The following is a 22,143-nucleotide window of genomic DNA, read 5'->3' on the forward strand; positions in this document are numbered from 1 at the left end:
AGAGGCACCCTCATCTTCTTACATCACAGCCATGGGTACATCCAACCCACAATTCATGGGTTGGATGAACAAGGTTGCTACTTATTAAGTTACAGGCAAGTAGTTCAATAAGAAATTTTAAAACAGTTAAGATTCTCTTTAGTTTCTGTATTTATGTAAACTTTCTATAATTTGAAATATAGCACTAGCTTTTCATAATTGAAAAGTATGGGGATAAACAAAGAAATGAAATACCTTCAGCAGTAACCATGGATATATAAAATCAAAACCATTACTATTATCATACTGTATATTTATACTAAATCCATTCCTTATTTTAATTTTCAAACCCAGTTATTCCTGATCTTTATATTTGTGCCTTATTTTATTTTATTTTATTTTTTTGAGACACAATCTTACTCTGTTGCCCTGGCTGAAGTGCAGCGTCACGATCTTGGCTTGATGCAACCTCTACCTCCCGGGTTCAAGCAATTCTCGTGCCTCTGCCTCTGGAGTAGCTGGGATTACAGGCATGCACCACCACACCTGGCTAATTTTTATATTTTAGTAGAGACAGAGTTTCACCATGTTGACCAGGCTGGTCTCAAACTCCTCACCTCAGGTGATCCGCCCTCCTCCACCTCCCAAACTGCTGGAATTACAGGCATGAGCCACCGCGCCCAGCCGTTGTGCCCTATTTTAAAGCCCTTATGCATACATATTGCATTATAGAAAGTGAAATAATCTTTTTTTTTTGATGGAGTCTCGCTCTATCGTCCAGGCTGAAGTGCAGTGGCACAACCTTGGTTCACTGCAACCTTCGCCTCCTGGGTTCATGTGATTCTCCTGCCTCAGCCTCCCGAGTAGCTGGGATTACAGGAGCACGTCACCACATCTGGCTAATTTTTGTATTTTTAGTAGTAGAGACGGGGCTTCACCATGTTGGCCAGGCTGGTCTCGAACTCCTGACCTCAAGTGATCCACCCACCTAGGCCTCCCAGAGTGCTGGGATAACAGGCATGAGCCAGCGCGCATGGCCTAGAAAGTGAAAGAATCTTGAAATAAGATTTCCCTCTCCTCTGAGATACTGAGACTAGTACTAATTTCTTCTATCATTCATTGGAAAAAAAGCTACAGTATGATTCATAAAAATGTAGGAGTTAAAAAACTGCCCAGGACATTTGAGCTAGGTATAAATAATATAATGCAGATATCATTAGGATATTGTAGTTTATGTTTATATAGACAACTATCTAGTTTTCTTGAATTTCATGAAAATAAAAAGCTAGTTCTCCCTAAACAGAGAAGACCTGGTAAAAAACTTGACAACATCACTGCAAACTCTGGTGATCAGAATGCTAGAGATTGTTATCTTAGACAGCAATAACATGGCTGCATGGCACTCATGGTTATACAATGGAAGCCAGATATTTAAACATTATCACTGTGAGCCAAGAAATATTGCATCTAATTTGTTACAGAGCTCAATCAAGATGGGAAGGAAGAGGTTCTTATTTTATCAATCTGAACATTGGCTGAAAGTAGAAGAACTAATCCACTTTATAATAATTTGTTTCTCTCTTGAATCCAGAAAGAAGAAGGGCTTGAGGACACAGAAGGTACATAGTTTAATAAATATTTGAGGGCTGAGTATGGTACCCAGACTTCTCTAGGTGCTGTGGGACACAGCAGTGGACCAAGAAGACAAAAATCTGTATCCTCAAGGAGCTTGTATTTTAGTGGAAGGAGATATACATTAATCAACACAGATAAGTAAATAAAGTAAATAAGCAAATAAATAAATAAAGTAAGTGAATATGATAGTGCAGTGTAGTGACACAGTGTTGGAGCCAGACAGCCTGGGATCAAAGCCTGGCACCATCACTTACAAGCTGTATGGCCTTTGAGGAAGTTCTCAACCTCTCTGTGCCTCGGTTTCCTCATCAGTAAAATTGGGTTAATAAAAACTTTTGAGATTTGCCATGAGGATCACATTTAATCAGTGTTAAACACTTAGAACTGTGCCCAGCACACTTTAAGCACTACATTAGTAGTACTTGCTATTATTATATTAAATGGTACAAGAACAAGAATGGGATAAAGGAGTGTTGGATGGGTTTGTAGTTTTAAATGCCTTGTTAAAAAAAATCTGGAACAAGATCTTGATGACAAACTGGCATTTAAGTAAAGATCTAAAGGAGCTGAGGGAGTCAGCCACTCAGATATTTGGTGGTAAGCTGTGCCAGGCAGAAGGAATGACAAGTGCAAAGACCCTGAGGTTGGCACATGCCTCGCTTCTAGGACTGACAGGTGTGCAGTGTGGCTGGGGAGGAGAATACAATAGGAGGGATCATAGATTGGGGCTCCTTAGAAGTAGAACCTAAGACAGGAATTCAAATGCCATTGATTTCCTGAGGATGTACTCTCAGGAAAAAACGAGGGAAGAAAGGAAGAGAGAGCAGAAGAGCTAAGTAAGGATGTGGCCCCGGCAGGTACAGCCTGGCCCCAAGGGGAGCACTGGAGTGTGGACTGCACTACAGTGAGTTCCCCCTTGAGACAAATGGATTGGCTTCTTGTTTCCTCAGCCAATCATTGGCAGAGGGCTGTTGGGGGAGGTGGCTCCCATTGGCCAAGGGCAGTTCTCATTAGCAGGGGCAGTTGTGAGTTGCTGGCAGTAGGTGGCGGTGGCCTGGGGAAGGGGATCGGGGCAGGACTTAGCAGTACACACTACAGGAGATGAAGCTGCTTCTTCTAGGGACTTGTAGACATTTCAAGTCATAGTTCCAGAAGATTCAAATATGAATTTAATGAGTCCATCTGGCTATATTCCAGGAACAGAATCTTAGCCATGATGAGGGCTGGAGTCTTTTCAGTCTGTACTTGTGCTTCTGAAAAATGTTAAAGAAAAACTACACAATGGGGGCACGTTGGTGCCTCTATAGCTTGCTAACTTCTGACTTTTTATTTTTTTATTTTCTTGAGACAGAGTCTTACTGCATTGCTCAGGCTAGAGTGCAGTGGCACGATTCTTGGCTCACTGCAACCTCTACCTGCCAGCAACCTCTGCCTCCTGGATTCAAGTGATTCTCCTGTCTCAGCCTCTCGAGTAGCTGGGATTACAGGTGCCCACCACCATGCCAGGCTAATTTTTATATTTTTAGTACAGACGGGGCTTTACCATGTTGGCCAGGCAGGCCTTGAACTCCTGACCTCAGGTGATCCACCCATCTTGGCCTCCCAAAGTGCTGGGATTACAGGCATGAACCAACACACCCAGCCTCTAAACTTGTTTTCTGCAAATGATTCTAGGTTTATTTCTAGCAAAGCTGAGCCCTCTGCCGGCAAAAGCAACATAGAGCTGCTGGGGGCACCTTGCTGCCTCTCCTCCACAGTCCTCAGCAATTCAGGTTTAGCTCCAAACCTGCATATTTCACCCACAAAGCCAAAGCCCTGCAGGCAGACAGCCCCGCATCCTTAGAAGGAAGCATAGCAATTGTTAATTGAAGCTGGAGCTGGAGCCTTGAGTGTCTTACACTCTATGCCAAGCAGCTTATCAAAGTTGCTTTTAGCCACACTGCATTTGTCCCTGTGAGGAGCCATGGAGACTTTGTACAATGTCAAGGTAGCTAAATTGGAATGACATTTCCCAGATAACTTAGATACAGAGATACCTTGTATGGTTCAGAGTTATAGTTGCCACAAGAGAAACTTGTGTGATTTTGTTTGTTTGTCACCCAGGCTGGAGTGCAGTGGCACAATCTCCGCTCACTGTAACCTCTGTGCCACCCACGTAGCTGGGATTACAGGCACGCGTGCCACCACATCCGGCTAATTTTTGTATTTTTAATACAGATGGTGTTTCACCATGTTGGCCTGGCTGACTTGAACTCCTGGCCTCAAGTGATCCGCTTGCCTTGGCCTCCCAAATTGCTGGGATTACAGGTGTGGGCCACTGGGCCTGGCCTGTTTGTTTAACATTCTAAACATGTATAATCAATTAACATGGCCTAGGATTTTAATGGTATTCACTTCAGTAACTTGAATCCACAAATCTAAGGAGTATATAACCAGAAAATTATGTATAAACACAGATTGGGCATGGCAATTCCTGTTCACAAAGGTCACATGTGTAGGTACATAAGTTAGTAGTGTGTATCTAGAATTATGACCAAACTGTTTTTAAGATGCAGAAATGTAAAATCACATCTTGAAAACATGATGAAAAAATGAAGAAGAGCTGGTCTACACCCATCAAAAATCAAACATTGCTTATAACAGAGACGAATGACAGCTACAGGATTCAAGTGACAATATGATTTCAAGAAATTAATACTGATCAAAGAGAACAGGAATATTTTTACATTTCACTGAAAATACATTGACTACTAGAATGTAAAGATCCAGCAGAAACTCAGGGAGAAAATTACAAAATCTAAAGCCAATTACTTAATATTTCTTATTACCTAAATAACTGCATGATATTAAAAGAAAGCTGAAAATATGGAACACTTCATGAATTTGTGCATCATCCCATCCGGAGGCCATGCTAATGTTCTCTATATCATTCCAATTTTGAAGTGAGCACCTTGTGTGAAATTTGAGATCAGGAATGAAGCAGCAGCCATTGCACTTTGAAGGCTATGATTGGTAGGTGTGGTTAACAGTGCCTGTGGGGGCCGGGCGAGGTGGCTCACGCCTGTAATCCCAGCACTTTGGGAGGCCGAGGCAAGGCGCCTGTAATCCCAGCTACTCCGGAGGCCGAGGCACTAGAATTGCTTGAACACAGGAGGTGGATGTTGCCGTGAGCCAAGTTCGTGCCATTGCACTCCAGCCTGGGCAACAAGAGTGAAACTCCGTCTCAAAACAACAACAACAACAACAACAACAACAACAACAACAACAACAAAACAAAAACAAAAAACAACAGTGCCTGTGAGTGCCACCTTGTCTTCAATTTTTTCCGCTCAATGTCCAGATCTTCCTGACTGCTGGCCCTACTGACCAGCCATGAACCAGGCCCACCATAAGATGCTCTGCTGTGAGCTCACAGAGGCGGAAGCCACAAAGAGCCTTCCATAGACTTCTATGCCAGCACTTTCATAGTTGCCCTCCAGCAGTCAGTGGCACCTCACATCCAGCAAGCTTCGATTTGTTCACCGGCTCCAGGGCTGATTAGTGGCTTTTTTCTGGTGCTTTTCAGACTTTTCTTCCTCAGCTTTTCCCCAGATTGTGGAAAGTCTAACTCCACAATAAATAACTTACCCCATAGTGCTCATAATGGTCTTGCTTCCCTGATTGAACTTTACCAGTACAGGAGGGAACTATAATTGCCTTCATCTTATTACATTTCCAGGAACATTTTATCATTTCTTGTAGGTCGGCACACCAGACATCTTCCTGGCTGGCTGTCCTTGAATGTAATTAATATATATCAATATAATCGATGTAGCCCTGAATATATTAGTCAATTCTCGCACTGGTATAAAGGAATACCTGAGACTGGGTAATTTATAAACAAAAGAGGTTTAATTGGCTCATGGTTCTGCGTGGCTTGAGAGGCCTCAGAAAAATTACAATCATGGTGGAAGGCTAAGGGAAAGCCAGCAGGTCCTCATGGCTGGAGCAGGAGGAAAAGAGAGTGAAGGGGAAAGGGCTACATGCTTTTAAACAACCAGAAATTGGGAGAACTCACAATCACAAGAACAGCAGGGGGGAAGTTGCCCCCATGATGTAATCACCTCCCTCTCTCCTCCAACACGGGGGATTATAATTCGACATGAGATTTGGGCGGGGACACAAATCCAAACCATATTAATAATATCCTTGAATTTCTGGTAGAGAAGGCACAAATAACTCTTTTCAGAAGAACCTTAATCTATCTATCTGAGTATACTTTTCAGTGAGACATACAGCTAGAGATACAATGGGAGGCAAACTATGTCCTTTATAAATACCTTTCTATAGGTAATACACTAGTCTGGCTCAAAAATCAGAGCTAGGCCAGACACAGGGGCTCATGCCTGTAATCCCAGCACTTTGGAGGGATGAGGCGGGTGGATCACTTGAGTTCAGGAGTTCTAGACAAGCCTGGCCAATATGGTGAAACCCCATCTCTACTAAAAATACAAAAATTAGCCAGGCATGGTGGAGTGCACCTGTAATCCCAGCTACTCAGGAGGTTGAAATGGGAGATTTGCTTGAACCCTGGAAGTGGAGGTTGTAGTGAGTGGAGATTGTACCACTGCACTCCAGCCTGGGCAACAGAGCGAGATTCCATCAGAAAAAAAAAAAAAAAAAATCAGAGCTATATACAAGGTATGCACTGTGAAGTCTGGTCCCCAGCCCTATTTTTGTCCACCACATTCCTGCCACCCTCACCCCACTCCTAAAGGTAACCACTTCTAATAGTTTCTTGTATTCTTTCAATGTTTTCTTATAAATAAATATATTTTCTTTATAATTATCTTGCAGGGAACTAAAAATCCTCCTCCATCTCCAGGGCTGGACCTGTTACCTCCTGGCTTCTCCCTGTTCTTGGCTTGCGTCTTTCCCCCTCATCACAGAGCACAGCATGCTGAAGGGAGGCCAGCAGGACTTAATTTGGTCATGAAATTTCTAAGTTTACTCATTCATAATCTCATGGTGTAATGGAAATAAAGGCCCCAGACTCAGACTATCTGGTTTCTGGCCCTAATTGCCAAAAGCCCTCTGTGGGATTAGGCTTTCTGGCTTCAGTTTCTTTGTAATTTGTTTTGTAATAGCAACATTATTAGACTAGATTATGGGTCTTTTGCCACATACCTAAACTGATTGCCCATGTAAAAGCCTTTTTAGAAACTTGCATTTCAGATACTTATTTTTTTTCTTTCTTCTTATTTTGTTTTATTTTTTTGGAAACAGTTCTCGTTCTGTTACCTAGGCTGGAGTGCAGTGGCACAATCACAGCTCACTGCAGCCTGGACCTCCCAGACTGAAGTGATCCTCCTGCTTCTGCCTCCTGAAGAGCTGGGACTACAGGCGTGCGCCACTATGCCCAGCTATTTTTTTTTTTTTTTGTAGAGATGGAGTTTCTACATGAAACCCCCATCAACATGAAAACCATGTTGCCCAGGCTGGGCTCAAACTCCTGGACTCAAGCGATCCACCTTCTTCAGCCTCCCAAACAGATGGGATTACATGAGCGAGCCACTGCGCCGGGCCTCAGCTACTTATATTAGGGTTCTACAGAGTATGGCACATGCTTCCCAGAAGCATTATGAAAGTAAATATGTGGATTGACAGTGGCACCCTCCCTTTATCCAGATGTCACCTGGCTTTGTGTGGTGGTTGTACCGTACACGGAGGCACCCGAGGGAAGAGTGGGAGTTCCAGAAAAGGTGGGTTGATGGTGGTTTCCTCACTCTTTTGCTTTCAGCACAGTGTGATGCATTACAGTTTATATATGGTCAGCTATATTGTCATAACTGGTTTTTAGATAATAGTCTCTAATTTTAATTAAATTAACTCTCGTAAAAACAGACAAATGACCTAAAAAGATTTCCTGCAACATGTTCTCACTCATAGGTGGGAATTGAACAATGAGAACACATGGACACAGGAAGGGGAACATCACACACCGGGGCCTGTTGTGGGGTGGGGGGAGAGGGGAGGGATAGCATTAGGAGATATACCTTATGTTAAATGACGAGTTAATGGGTGCAGCACACCAACATGGCACATGTATACATATGTAACTAACCTGCGCGTTGTGCACATGTATGCTAAAACTTAAAGTATTAAAAAAAAAAAAGATTTCCTGCAAAGAAACCATGGATTGACGTGAAAACAATAACATGAGTAGAAGCAAAGAAGCAACAACAACAAAAACAACAATAAAAAGAGCAGACCAGTTCTACTCCTAGAAAAAACTCTTTGCTACCCACATTGAAAGGCCAAAATAATAAGGCTCAAATGAGATTTGATGAGAAGTCTGACAAAATAGTCAAAATTAGCAAGGAGATGGCTTGCAAGTTGTATTTACATCCATTATCATTAATGAGGAACCACAACTTAAGGGAATATTTTGCCTTGAAATATTAATGATTGTAGCATGATTTGAAAGACATTTAAAATAGTATTTCTTACAGTCAATTAAGCCAATCATGTTCCTTTCCTTGTAAGGGCCAGGTGTGCCATGGCTGCGAACAGCAGCCTTCTCGGTAGTATGTGCACCGTGTTGCTTGTATGTTGTAAGCATTGCCCTAAGGACCTTGGAGACAGCCCTTTCCAATGGACATTCATGTCCCTGACCTGACACTGTCTCCAGTCTGTGCTCTAGATAGGTACGCAGGGTGCCTTTGAAAGCCCCAGGGCATGGGAGGAAAGATCCACATTGGCCAAGTCATTATGTTCATCTGCACCAAGCTGCAGAACAAGGAGTATGTGATTAAGACCCCACACAGGACCAAGTTCAAGTTCCCTAGCTGCTAGAAGATCCATATTTCAAAGAAGTGAGATTTTACCAAGATTAATGTGGATGAATTTGAAGACATGGTAGCTGTGAAACAGCTCATCCTAGACAGCTATCAGGTCGAACACCCCCAATCATGGCCCCCTGGACAAGTGGTGGGCCCTGTACTTATGGGGGCTCCCACTGTTTTGCCCCTCCTTATTCACACCCACCAATAAAGCCTACTTCCTAACCCCCAAAATAAAGAAATAATAATATTATTTATCTTTATATCATCTTTTAGTGTCTTTTTTTGTGCACGTATTGTAATGCTTGTAATACATTGGTAAGTATACATAATGGAAGTATGGGCTGAACATTTTTTGCTGATTAGAGGGTCACAATCAAAAAGCTGGTGACCACTGATTTGTACTGAGACTGACATGTCCAGAAGTCCATCCAACTTATGAAGAAGACATGTGGATGGTGGCACAGCTTGGACTCTGTAATTCAAGACTGTAAAACATTTCTCACTCTACGTTTTATGACCTATAACACACGATTACATGAACTAGGGAAAGGATTGTGCTTTAGAAAGTCAGGTAAGTGTATTTGCATTTCCATTATCAGGAAAAACTCCCTCCATCCTCATTCCTCAACTTCTAGGTTTTTCCTAGGACTAGATTTAGGGACTAGATTTAACAATCTTTCAATCAAGTTTGTTTTCTTTGTTACTTTCACCTGGTTCGACATCTAAGTAAATCAACATTGCTAATCTGTTAGTTTTTTTTTTTTTTTTTTTTTTTTTTTGAGATGAAGTCTCGCTATATCGCCAGGCTGGAGTGCAGTGGTGCGATCTCAGCTCACTGCAACCTCCGCCTCCTGGGTTCAAGCAATTCTCCTGCCTCAGCCTCCGGAGTAGCTGGGATTACAGGCAGGCACCACCACGCCCAGCTAATTTTTTTATTTTTAGTAGAGACAGGCTTTCACTATGTTGGCCAGGATGGTCTCCACCTCCTGACCTCGTGATCCGCCCACCTTGGCCTCCCAAAATGCTGGGATTACAGGCATAAGCCACTGTGCCCGGCCACCTCTTAGTTTTTTTGGAACAAAGGGAATCTGAAGATTTTTCAGAGTCAGGAAAGAATTTTGTTAGGATATTAAATGTGGGCAATGTTTATTTTTAAGTCTACAGATCTGAAGTTACCTTTTTCAAGAACAAAAACACTCTTTGGTTTGCTCATAGATTGATTATTCCTAGTATATTATTTTAAAAGTACTTTATTTTAAAAAGTCATATTTAATGCATAGAGTTATTGCAAAATATAAACAGGAGGCAAAAATGAAATGAGGTATAAATGTGTGCTAAATTCTGCTGTAGTAATAGACAACCTCCTAAATCTCAGTGAGTCAATGCACCCCCAATTTTTTTTCTCATACTGCATGTCTAATGCAGCTTAGCAGGTGGAGCTCTGCTCACTGAAATCTCTCAAGGACTGTTAGAACAATAGCCCCCAAAGATATCCACCTCCTAATCCTGGGAACCAGTGAATGTTTCCTTACATGGTAAAAGGATCTTTGCTGACGTGATTACATTAAGGATATTGAAATAGGGAGACTATCTGGATTTTCTAGGTGGACCCAATGTAATTACAAGGGTCTTTATAAGAAGGAGGGAATAAAGTCAAAGGCAGTAGTAGAAGATGTGGCCCCAGAAGCAAGAGGTTGGAGTGATGTGAGGAAGGGGCCACAAGCCAAGGAATGCAGGCAGCCTCTAAAACTGAAAAAGACAAGGAAGTGTATTGTACAAATGAAAGCCCGCATACTTTATGTCTAAGTATTCAGAGGTTGTAAATTAAACCATACCCACAATCTCTGGCTTGGTCCTGACCTGGGCCACAGTGGTCCCCAGGGACTGTCCTGCAACCTAGAGGTTGAAGAGCCCCAGTCTGCCAGCCTGAGTGGAAGCACAGCTCTGCCTGGGCAGGCAGGGTAGACGGGGGTCCAGGCTCAGACAGCTGTGAGTGAATTCACCTGCCTGATCCTGGGGCAGGGACTGACCTGGGCCAAGCTTTTCAGGGAGTTCTCAGCGCTCAGTGCCTTTACCATCAAAGCAGAAGAATGTCACTGTTAAATGGCTTTGGGAAACCCTGCTTGTTAACTTCCCTGCGCACCTTCTTGCGGATTCATAACTTATATTACACTATATAGTAAAGGTTCTGACAGATCATAAGATATAAAAACCTGCTTAGCTTTGTTTAACTCAGCATTTTCCACATGGAATACGTTTTTGGGAAAGCTTCCTTTTTTTTTCATAAGTCTTAGTAATATCCTGCTTTCATAAGTCAGAGTTCTTCAACACACCTAAGGAACTGCTGTTTCTGGAAAGGTTTTTGGACCTAAAATGCAGAGCACTGAATGAATCATACTCCTTAGTTCCTGACATACAATTATCAGTTGTTCCTACAAGGACCCATTGTCATTCATTCATTCATTTATTCAGAGTCAAATCAGGCACAGAAAGCACAGTATCTTAGGGCTCATGATACATTAAGGGGCCCAGGAAAGTGTTTTAATTTCTTGTAAGTCAGAAGTAAAAATGTACTTTTAGGGCAAAGAAGTTTTTATTTTAATTTTATTTATTTATTTATTTATTTATTTTTAATAGATACAGGGTCTCACTATGTTGCCTAGGCTGGTCTTGAACTTCTGGCCTCAAGCAATCCTCCTGCCTTGGCCTCCCAAAGTGTGATTACAGGTGTGAGTCACCATCCCTGGCCCAGAGAAAATGTTTTAATACATAATATTAATATATTTATCTTTATACCAACACAGTTGTAAAATATGATTTTTAAATACTTTTCTAATGGAGGAAAGGACCCATGAAGGCGAAAGGGACTCGGGCCCACGGAAATTGGAATGCAGCCATACATTTATTTACTCCCTTTATTTTATATCCTAGTCCCATTGTCTCCAATCAGTAATACTTTTAATGTGTATGTTTATTTCTCTTTGAATGTGTCTTTGAAAAGCATATATTACTGGTTTGCATATTGTTTAAGTGATATTGTATTTTATATTGTTCTGTTTCTTGCGTTTTTCACTATGTACCATATTTTAAAATCAATTTCTACTGCTCTAAGTATGTCCAACTAATTGCTTCTACCCACAGCAAAATACTCTGTGGTGTACCTGCACCACATTTTACCCATTCACTCTCCCAGTGATGCCATCTCCTTGCCACCACCATGCTGCAATGATCCACCATGTACATTTCCCTCTTCAGCCTGCCTGGGAATGTTTCCAGGATATGTGCTCATCAGTGGAATTTCTGAGTCAGAGGGCACCTGCATACTTAATTTGGTTATGTAATGCTAGAAGTCTCTCCAAAATAAATGCTGTTTTCATATTTTTCTTTTCTGTGCTGGTCATTTTGGGGTTTGCTGTAATTTATTTTAGCTTTGTAAAATAAATTGGGTAATTCTTTTTTAAATCCTGGAACATTTTATATTGCATTGGAATTAATTATTCTTTGCAAGTGTGAGACTATAGGCAGTATGACTACTTGATGCCAAAACCCATATGTAGAGGCAATTCTTGAAAATATTTTCAGTTTCTTCCTTGGCTATTGGTTTGAATAAATTTTTATTGTTCTCAATCTGATGTTGGCATCAGGCAGGAATAACTAGGTCCATGAGACACAGACACAAAGATATGTATTTTTTTGGTTTTGTTTATGATTTTGTGACTTGCTGTAATACCTTAGGAAGGCTCTCTGTGCCCATGTGTACTCAATTGCACTATTGATGGGCTTGAAATGATTGGACTCCAAATGTACATGGCAAGAGTTCATTCTCTGCATGTCACATAAGTCTGCTCTGGTCAACGAATAGGTCTTCTCCCTCTTTTTATGATCTTGAATTTTTGCTCTTAAATTAACAATGATGTCATGCACTTTTTGGCACTTAAAAATATATACATAATATATACACATACCTTCAAGGATTTTTCTCCTCTGAAGAAGCCAAGGCTGGCAAATTACTACTTATAAATCAGGTGATACTTTTGGAGTCTGAATTATTCTGACTACCTGGAGAACATTGCTTTCTTCCTTCATAAAAGTCATTCCAAAACTGCACTTGAGTCACAAAACTGCCCTTTCCTGAATCCTGTTTCAGGAATGACTAGCTCAGTGAACATGTACCCCTTTCCTCACTAATCACTGCAGCTAAGATTAGTACCTTTCCAAAAAAGAAGCTATAGGTAAGAATGATTTATGTGTTTTTCATTTCTCAAGCTCACTTGGCAAGTAACAGATCCCTCATTTTAAATAAATCCACTGGACCTACATTAGAACTTACAGAATTATGCAGAACGAGGCTCATGTGTCTTCTAAAGAGTTTTCAGTTGAATCTATGAAGAAATTATTATTCCCTGCCCACTCAGAAAATGTACCACTAATTTTGGTAGTCACAGAGAGAATGAGATTTACTCTTCAGATATTAATGTTATAACTCATTATTGCTGGAATATAACTGTTATGTAACAGAAAAGATATGACAGTTGGATAGTGGGATCCAAAATAACTCAGAGGCCAGTTTCTTCTTTCCCTCACATTTTTCAAAAGTAACCTAAAATCCTCATGTTTAAGGAAAGTTTCCAGATGAACTTCATATACCTAATTTGGGGGTAAAACGTACAGGGTCCATTTTCTAATTTTAATTTGCTTGTACCTTCTCATTGTAGTGGTGGACTGAAAAAAAAATTTGAATTTGCTTATACCTGACTGGTGGTGTCTTTTTGTATCATTGAGAGTTTGGTGCTTTAATCCACTAATTTATCCAACAAGCATTTATTGGCCTTTATTCTATGCCAAAGAGACAGGGGTGAACAATAACAACCACAAAAAACAGTCTCCGCCTTCCTCAAGCTTACATCTAATGCAAGAAGTAGGCAGCAAACAAAGAAATCATCAAGGGCTATTAGGGTTCCCTGGGGCTGGTGTGTAGAGAATGGCATGTGATGCGGGAGGGGAGAAGAAAGAGAAATGGCAGCTTAGATGAGGTAGCCATGGAGATAATGACAGATTGGGTATATCATTTGAGACAGAGCGACAAAGACAGATCTCCAATAAACTCTATGTGTGTGTCTTAGATTAGGCTCCCTGGAAACAGACTCCGAGATGGAGATTTGGGTGTGAGGTTTCTTGAGGAGAGCGCTTGGGATGCCTGTACAGGAGTGAGGGGTGCAAGGTGGGGCAGACAAAGTTGAACTGCACGAACAAGAGAGGCCTCAGGTGATCTCAGTGGGAAAGCGAAAGCTGGGATGGCCCTTCAGGTATGGCCCACATTGAAGCAAGGAGGGAGTAGGTCTTGGTACCTGCCACATTGACCAGTCATTGGAAATGGGTGGCTTCCAGAGAGAGGACAAGGTAGCTCCTTTCACAGGAGGGCAACCCCTTTGGAGGGACTCACCTGGGAGCTGGGAAGAGCTCATACTCTCCTTCCCCAGCTGGAGAAGCGAGTGTATAGGTCCTGATGGCATTTGGGCTGCACACCACACAGAGTAGAGACGATGCTCTGTTCTAACCCAGACTGTGAAATGCCACTCTGAAATTCTAGGTTCTCCAATTTTCTTGAGCATCAGAATCATGTGAGAAGTTTGTGTTAGGTGCAGATTCTTAGATCCAGTCTCCTGGAGATTGATTCAGAGGTCTGTGTTTGAACCAAAGAATCTTCATTTTTAATGCATTATCTTCAGCTATTCTGATGGTGGAGTCTGCAGAAAACACCATGGGAAACAAGTCCTGTGGTATGCAGAATTAAGAAGCCACCAAGATTTCTCACCTGTGGTGCACAAGACCTGCATAATCCCAGGACTGTGAATTTGGTGGATTTTACTCCCATGATTAGATTATGTTATAAGCATAGTTCCTCTTAAAATAGGGAGATTATCCCAGCAAGCCTGGAGCCTGACCTAATCACATGAACTCTTCCTCCCCCCTCCCTCCCTCCCTTCCTTCCTTCCTTCTTTCCTTCTTTCCTTCCTTCCTTCTCTCTCTTTCTCTCTCTCTTCTTTCTTTTCTTTCCTTCTTTCTTTCTTTTCTTTCCTTTCTTTCCTCTCTCCTTCCCTCCCTCCCTTCCTTCTCTTTTTCTCTCTCTTTTTCTTTCTTGCTTTCTTTCTCTCTCTCTCCCTTCCTTCCTTCCTTCTCTTTCCCTCCCTCCCTCCCTCCTTCCTTCCTTTTTTTTTTTTTTTTGTAGAAATGGGGGTCTGGCTGTGTGGCCCAGGCTCGTCTCGAACTCCTGGGCTCAAGTGATCCTCCTGCCTTGGCCTCTCAAACTGCTGGAATTACAGGTGTGATTCACTGTACCCAGCACATGAACTCTTTAAGAGGAGAGAGTTTTCTTTGACTGATGGCAGAAGAAGAGATCAGAGGTTAGAAGTACAAGGAGGATTCGATGTGCTGTTGCTGGCTTGAAGATGAAGGGATGACAAGGAACTTGAGCAGTCTTTAGGAATGGAGAGTGGCACCTGCCTGGCAGACAGCAAAGAAATGGGGACCTCAGGCTACAGCTGCAAGGAACTGGATTCTACCAATGGCAAGAATGATCTTGGAAATGAATTTTCCTCAGTGTCAGCCCAGCGGATACCTTGATTTCACCATTGGGATATCAGAGCAGAGAGCCCAGCCACTCTGTGCTGGACATGTGATGGACAGAACTGCAAGCTAATAAATGGGTGTTGTTTTAAGCCACTACATTTGTGGCATTTGTCATGCATCGGTAGAAAATTAATAGAAAAACCATTGTGTTAAGCACATGTTGGAGACAGAAGAGAGAAGAAATAAAGAGATTCAGTTCTGCCACTAGTTGGTCCAGGTGAGAGCAGACAGCAGAGGGAGCTCCCTCTCAGGTTCTCCCTGGTCATGGAGATGATGTGCCCACCCCACCTCCCTCATGGATTTGTTGGGAGATTCAAATGAGGTATAAACATAAGACAGGAAGAACAGAATCTTTATGAAAATATGAGTTCAGGGACTTTTATAAGATTCTTCTCAGGCATTCTTCTAAATAGAATATATGGGTTTTTGAATGAGAAATTTATTGTACATCCAAAGATATACAGAAAGAACTTTTCTTAAAATATATATACACATAAATATATATAAATATATATAAAAATATATATAAATATACATATAAATATATATAAATATACATATAAATATATATAAATATATATAGAAATATATAAAAATATATATAAAAATATATATAAATATATATAAATATATATATAAATAATATATAAATATATATAAATATATAAAAAATATATAAATATATATAAATAATATATATATAAATATATATAAATAATATATATATAAATATATATAAATAATATATATATAAATATATATATATATTCTGTTTTAGAGACAAGATCTCCCTATGTCATCCAGGCTGGAGTGCTGTGACATGATCATAGCTCAACTGCAGCTTGAAATTCCTGAACTCAAGGGATCTCCCTCCTCTGCCTCCCAAAATGCTGGGATTACAGGCATGAGCCACGGCGCCAAGCCCAGAAAGTACTTCTCTATGGCAGTATTAAAACAAACAGAGCACCACCCTACACACTGGGGCTTGCTGCCAAGTGCCCACAGACCATGGCTGGGCAATGAGGATGGATTCAATGTAGGCCTCGAGCCTGAGGCGACTCCCCCTTTCTCCTTGTGAGCCTGGATCAATGGGACAAAGGGAGTGGACAACAGGGAGTGGAATCTAATGTATGAGTCAGAATCTAGTCAGGAAAGCAGAAACCACATTGGCTACTACAACAGACAGAAGATAATGTGAGAAATCGGTGTTGGAGGGCTAAAGGAGCAAAGGGAACACCGGTGTGAACAGAGAAATAACCACAAGAAGTAGCTACCGCTCCATAGGGCTGCGGGAACAAAAGGAAGTTGCTGGGATTATTTTAATCTAGAAATTTCGAGGAGGAGCCTCTTGGAGCTGGGATGCAGATCCCTGAGGAGGAAGCCATATCCGGGTGGTGCTGGCACCACTGCGAGGGTAAAATGAGGCTGGCTCCGGGTATGTTGACAAAAGCTGGAGTCTGCAACAAGTGTCCTGCTAATCTTGCAGCCTCTCTAGTGCCCCCTATTGGCAGGACCGAATAGGGTAGCAAGCAGGCCAAAGAACAGATTTTTTTTTTTTTTTTTTTTGGCCAAGTTCAGCCAGAGTATCGCAAAGCAGTTTATGCAAGGCAGGTTTGGAGCTGAGAAACAGTACCTTAATAACCAGCACAGGTGGTTTCCAGTGCAAACCAGAGAAACCCAAGCTCATTTGAAGGGCTCTAACAGTGGCAGGAAATGGGAGGTGGGAGGGCTGGCTTATTTTGAACTCCCTCTTTGCTATACAAAAGATCTAAGATCTCAAGGCATCTGAAAGGCAGCTTTCTCACAATAGTAACCCTGGGGTGGAGATAGAGAGGTGGGCGGTGGGGCTGGAGAATACCTGTTAGCATGTGTCATAAGAATCATATTCTCCGGCTGAGCTGGGCTCATGGTCTAAGCTTTTGCTTCTCTAGCAAGGGTACTTGTAAGGTACTTGGAAGGTGTTTAGGGAAAATATTTTCATATTAAATAGATGAGCAATTGTACCATCTTGGGTCTGTTCAGAGTACAGTGTTAATATGGAATGGAGTACAAAATTTATTTTTAAAGATAATATTTCAGATGTCAAAGCAAATATATGTTTGCAGCTGGCCACTTAAATAATCTCCCATCCTTCCAGAGTCCTTGAAAAAGTTTGGGAAGCATTCCTAGTCACATTATCTATCACCTACATTTTAAAAAAATGCTCAGGGAGGGGTCTTTTTGTCAGGAAAGAACTATTTTTAGGATTTTCTTGTTTGTACTTAAAATTAAAAATTTAAAAGAAATTACAAATATTAAAATTTAGTTTTTTTTTTTTTGAGACGGAGTCTCGCTCTGTTGCCCAGGCTGGAGTGCAGTGGCACGATCTCGGCTCACTGCAACCTCTGCCTCCCGGGTTCATGCCATTCTCCTGCCTCAGCCTCCCGACTAGCTGGGACTACAGACACCTGCCACCACGCCCGCCTAATTTTTGTATTTTTAGTAGAGACGGGGTTTCACCGTGTTAGCCAGAATGGTCTTGATCTCCTGACCTTGTGATCTGCCCGCCTCAGCCTCCCAAAGTGCTGGGATTATAGGCGTGAGCCATCGCGCCCAGCAAAACTTAGTTTTAAAGCCTTTATGTTAAATTTAGAAATCTTGTTAGACTTTTTATAAAGCGAACAAAACAGGAACAATCACCTTTAATTGGCCTCAGATTAATGTTGAGTAACTCAACGTTAACAGATTAAGTTCCCCTAAACATTGTTCCCACTTAAAAGATTAATTAAATTTCCTTAAACATTTGAAACTACACTTATAAATACATTTAATTTTTGTAAGTGCTTCAAATGCCTGACAAGGAAAATTTATGACTTAACAAACAAAAACCTTTCTAAGTACTTAGATTAACTCTTGTACATTCAATAAATCACATTTATAAAATATAGTTACCCTTTGTTCTCTTAAATATTCAATGCTGTTTAAATATTTGTTCAAGATTACTTATGCTTTTCAACCTAAAATTAGAAGTCAAAGCCAATTACACCTTTCAAATGAAAGTCACCAAGCTAATCCATTGGATTTTCTAATCTGCTATATTCTCAAAAACCTTTAATTAAACCTTTAGGTTGTCCTAATGATTATAGACCTGATTGCTAGAGAGAACATAAAGCTATTAGTTTTTTAAGCTTTTGATTTGCTTCTTCATCTCTATTCAATTCTAATCTTTTCCAGAGTTGAAAAGGCAGTTACACAATTACAGGGAGCAATTGTATCATCTTGGGTTGGTCCAGTGTACAGGGTTAACTGCTCCTGACTGTGACGTCTTTGGGATTCAGAACAGGGCCCAGACCTGACGGCTCCATGCTCCCTGTACCACGGATGATCATGTTGGACATTCTTATAACATTTGTGAAGATGGAGTTTTGCAAGTCTCTCCTGGGCTCCATTTAATAAATGTGTTTGCTGGCAAATTCAATTCTCTATTCTTTCATTTTCTCCTCTTGTCTGACATTTTAATGACTCCTCTTGTCTGAGTCTGGTCATAATTTAAAGACATTTTAATTTCTTATCTTCTGATCTTCCAGCAGAGCATTATACTCTTGCTAGTAGATGTGAAGGTTGATTATATAAATTGAATCATTCTTGTCATACCCAACTGTATTAGTCCATTTTCACACTGCTATAAAGAAATATCCAAGACTAAGTAATTTATAAAGGAAGCAACTTTAATTGACTCACAGCTCCTCATGGCTGGGGAGGCCTTAGGAAACTTACAGTCATGGCAGAAGGGGAACCAGGCACCTTCTTCACATGGCGACAGGAGAGCAACAGCGAGTGAAGGGGGAAGAGCCCCTTATAAAACTATCAGATCTCATGAGAACTCTCTCACTATCACAAGAAGAGCATGAGGGAAACTGCCCCCATGATCCAGTCATCTCCCACCAGGTCCCTCCCTTGACACGTGAGGTTTACAATTCAAGATGAGATTTGGGTGAGGACACAGAACCAAACCATATCACCAACTAAATCAGACTTGAGGGTCTGGGTGAAAAGTACTTGGGGCATAGAGTACCTGCTCCAAGATTTAAATTTTCCACAAGCCCAGCTGATGAAATGGCCTGCTGTAACCCTGTGATCAGTTTTACCTAGTAGCTGCCTAAACAAACTGCCATGACAGTAAGACTACTACTGTCACTCACCAGTCAGAGCTGGCCAGCTCCCAGAAGCTTCTTTAGTGTCAGTGAGAGTTTTTTCTTTCAAAACAATATGTTACAATTGTCTTTCTAATAAAACTTCCAACCTTCTCTTTGTTCTTTGGACATACCGAAGACCACCTGGTCTGTGTGTCTGCCCTGAATTGTAATTGATGCTTCCCAATAAATATTTTAGATTTAGAGATTTGTCTCTATATTTTATTTGACTCCAACAAAGTGGATAGCAGATGGAGGTCCATGCGGGAGAAGATCTCCAATCCCTCCTTTGTGATACAATCTGCAGTACAAATAATCAATTTTTCCACAAGGCAAATGAGCCAATGCATTTGCTGGGGGAGCAGGGAGAAACATGAATCAGCATCTTTCTCCCACTCTCACTTTTCTTCCTGCAGGATATAAAATTTGTGCTAGCCAGAAGGGGGCAGAAGAGAATATGGGGCTTGGGCTCTAAAAAATGCCTCTTGATATATCCCAGGAGGGATAAAATAGATATGAAGTTGAACTTTGCTTCCATAACTTAAGAAAAGTGTGGCTGGGGAGAGGTTTCTAACCACCAAACCCTATTTTCTCAACTTTAAAGTACCTAACTTGCAGGATAATTATCATCATTGAGATTACGTACATAAAACGGACAGCATTGGGCCTGGCATAGAGTTCATTATAATTGCCAGTTTATCGATTGATCTATATAGTATAGTCTGCATCTATCTTGTTCCATGGTGCTATCCCTGCCACCAAGCACAGGGCTCAGCGCTGGGATTTGTTGAATGACTCTTCCTCTCCATGACAATATCTGGGCCACTGTTCGTCAGCTGCAAGAACTGTTGATGTTGGAGGGGGCTTATATCTGAATGATTTACCTGGGGCCATATATGGAGCATTGATGTTAAGTGGGTGTTGTGATCGTTTTGCATAATGTGTGTTTATGCTGTTGGATAGGAGGGTAAAGCCACAGTCATGGGTGTAAGGAGTGAGGTCATACCTGAAGGATGAGATTATTCATGGCATCATCAACTAGGCAAGGGGTCTGTATCCCAGAATTGCATGGAAAATGTGTAGGTTAGTAACATCAGGAAGATGTTCCTTTTCTGGTCTTCAGCAGAGAGACATGAGGATGACTAGGGGAGAGGTTATGAGAAGGATGTCTTTACAAGATACCCGTCATGTGGGGACAGGTTAAGAGCCAAGAAAAAAGAGGTCCCAGGCCTTTGGAGCCAGGATGTAGTTGTCTCAGATGGCAATTAGAATAAGATAGGGCTGGGACTCAGAAAGTGGCTCCCTAGAGTTAGGAATCACATAAACTGACCAGGGATTCTCAACCTCATCACTATTGACATAATTCTTTGTTGCAGGGCTCTGTTGTGAGCATTGTGGGAGGGCTAGCAGCAGCTCTGCTGTAGGTATTATAGTAGGGAGACATGGGATGCTCTACTCACTGGAGATCAGTAGTACTACCCAGTTGTTACAGCCAAAAATGTCTCCAGACATTGCCAAATGCCCCCTAAAGGAGCACTGGTTGAGAACTACTTACCCAAACTATTTCTTATGTTGTCTATATTTACTTCCTCTGTGTGCCCCTTGGCATTTTACAAAGTCTTTTTGAAACTTCTTTCCTGTCTTAAATGTGTTAAAGGGTAAGGAAATGTCTCTTGGATATGCATAAACCAGATCCTTAAAGAAAGAACAAGCAGGCCTTGGCAGCTGCTGGAGTTGGTGTCATAGGAATCAAAGTGGAAGAATCTTAAGGGAAAATGAAACTCAGAGCTGTTTCCCACCTAGAGATCTCTTCAAAGAGTTTGACACTTTAAGAAGGCATGGTAGTTTTGCTTATGTTGTTCTTCCTATGAGTTTTTGGATTTTTTCCCCCTATAAGGCAGGTGCATATCTAAGAAGTTCTGAATAAATGCCATATCCATTTATTGAGGCCTAATTAAGGACCTAATTAAAGGAGAGTTTCGTAGTGTTTAGCTGGTAAAAGTTTAACTGGGAAAGAAAATACAAAGGGTAAAATACAAAGGGTAAAGAGTAAAAATACCTAGGGTAAAAGCCCAAGAAATGGACATGCAATATACTTTATGGTCTTCCCAGCTATATCAGAAATTAAGAGAGAATGACAGTGTAGTTTCCTAGGGCCCAAGCATCTGGAAATGTTTTCCCCTTGTTTTTATGGGCACCATGGTTGACTCACAAGCGACTCCCTCTCTTGGCATCTTTTACATGGAATGCTAGTTGCAACTTGTTGGCACAGATAAGACTTATGAATCTTTCAATTTCCAACACTTTCCTTCCCTTGTCTTTTGAAATAATCTATCTAGTCACATATGCAACCCAATGGAACAACACAACACGGTGGCCTGCAAAGCAGTTGCAAAGTTTTGGAAAACTTTCCAGTGCAGGTATGTTTGCACGAGTGACAACCCAATAAATGTATGTTCCTAGGGCTAATTTCCATTTGTAAATGTGAGATACTGTAGGATAGGCAGGGCTGTTGCTAGGAGACTGTTCATATAAGTTCCAGAAACATGATTAAATGAGGCAAGGGGGTAGGCTAGACGCTAGATAGGGGAAGAGATCACTTTTGGGAACATACTCATTTTTGCAAGGAAGTGAAGTCAGGCATGAATGTAACTGTGATAATGCTTTAATACTTTGTAGATGGCCAAAGGCTATAGGAGGAAAGAGGAGGGAGAGACTATTTCTGGTCCAGAAATGTGTGGGATGGTTTCGTGGAGGAGAAGTCATCTGAGCTGAGTCCTGAAGTTTATGTAGGATTTTGACAGATGCAGATGGATGGATGTGGAAGGGTGCTATAGCAGGGAGGAATAGAATAATATGAGCAAAAGAACAGAGATGAGGAGTAGGGTATGTTCTGGGATTTA

The 22,143-nt window shown here is 41.3% G+C and overlaps 1 non-coding gene and 1 pseudogene across 1 annotated transcript; one reads left to right on the forward strand and one right to left on the reverse strand.

Moving 5' to 3' along the window:
- Window positions 4,474–4,573, reverse strand: RNU6-158P (RNA, U6 small nuclear 158, pseudogene; annotated as a pseudogene).
- LOC124900176 (small nucleolar RNA SNORA70) lies at window positions 8,100–8,240 on the forward strand. The gene has a single exon (XR_007058525.1). It is a non-coding gene; the product is annotated as a small nucleolar RNA SNORA70 (small nucleolar RNA).
- Window positions 8,241–22,143: the final 13,903 nt, after the last annotated feature.

This window comes from Homo sapiens, chromosome 4 (genome assembly GCF_000001405.40).
Source record: "Homo sapiens chromosome 4, GRCh38.p14 Primary Assembly".
Lineage (NCBI taxonomy): Eukaryota > Metazoa > Chordata > Mammalia > Primates > Hominidae > Homo > Homo sapiens.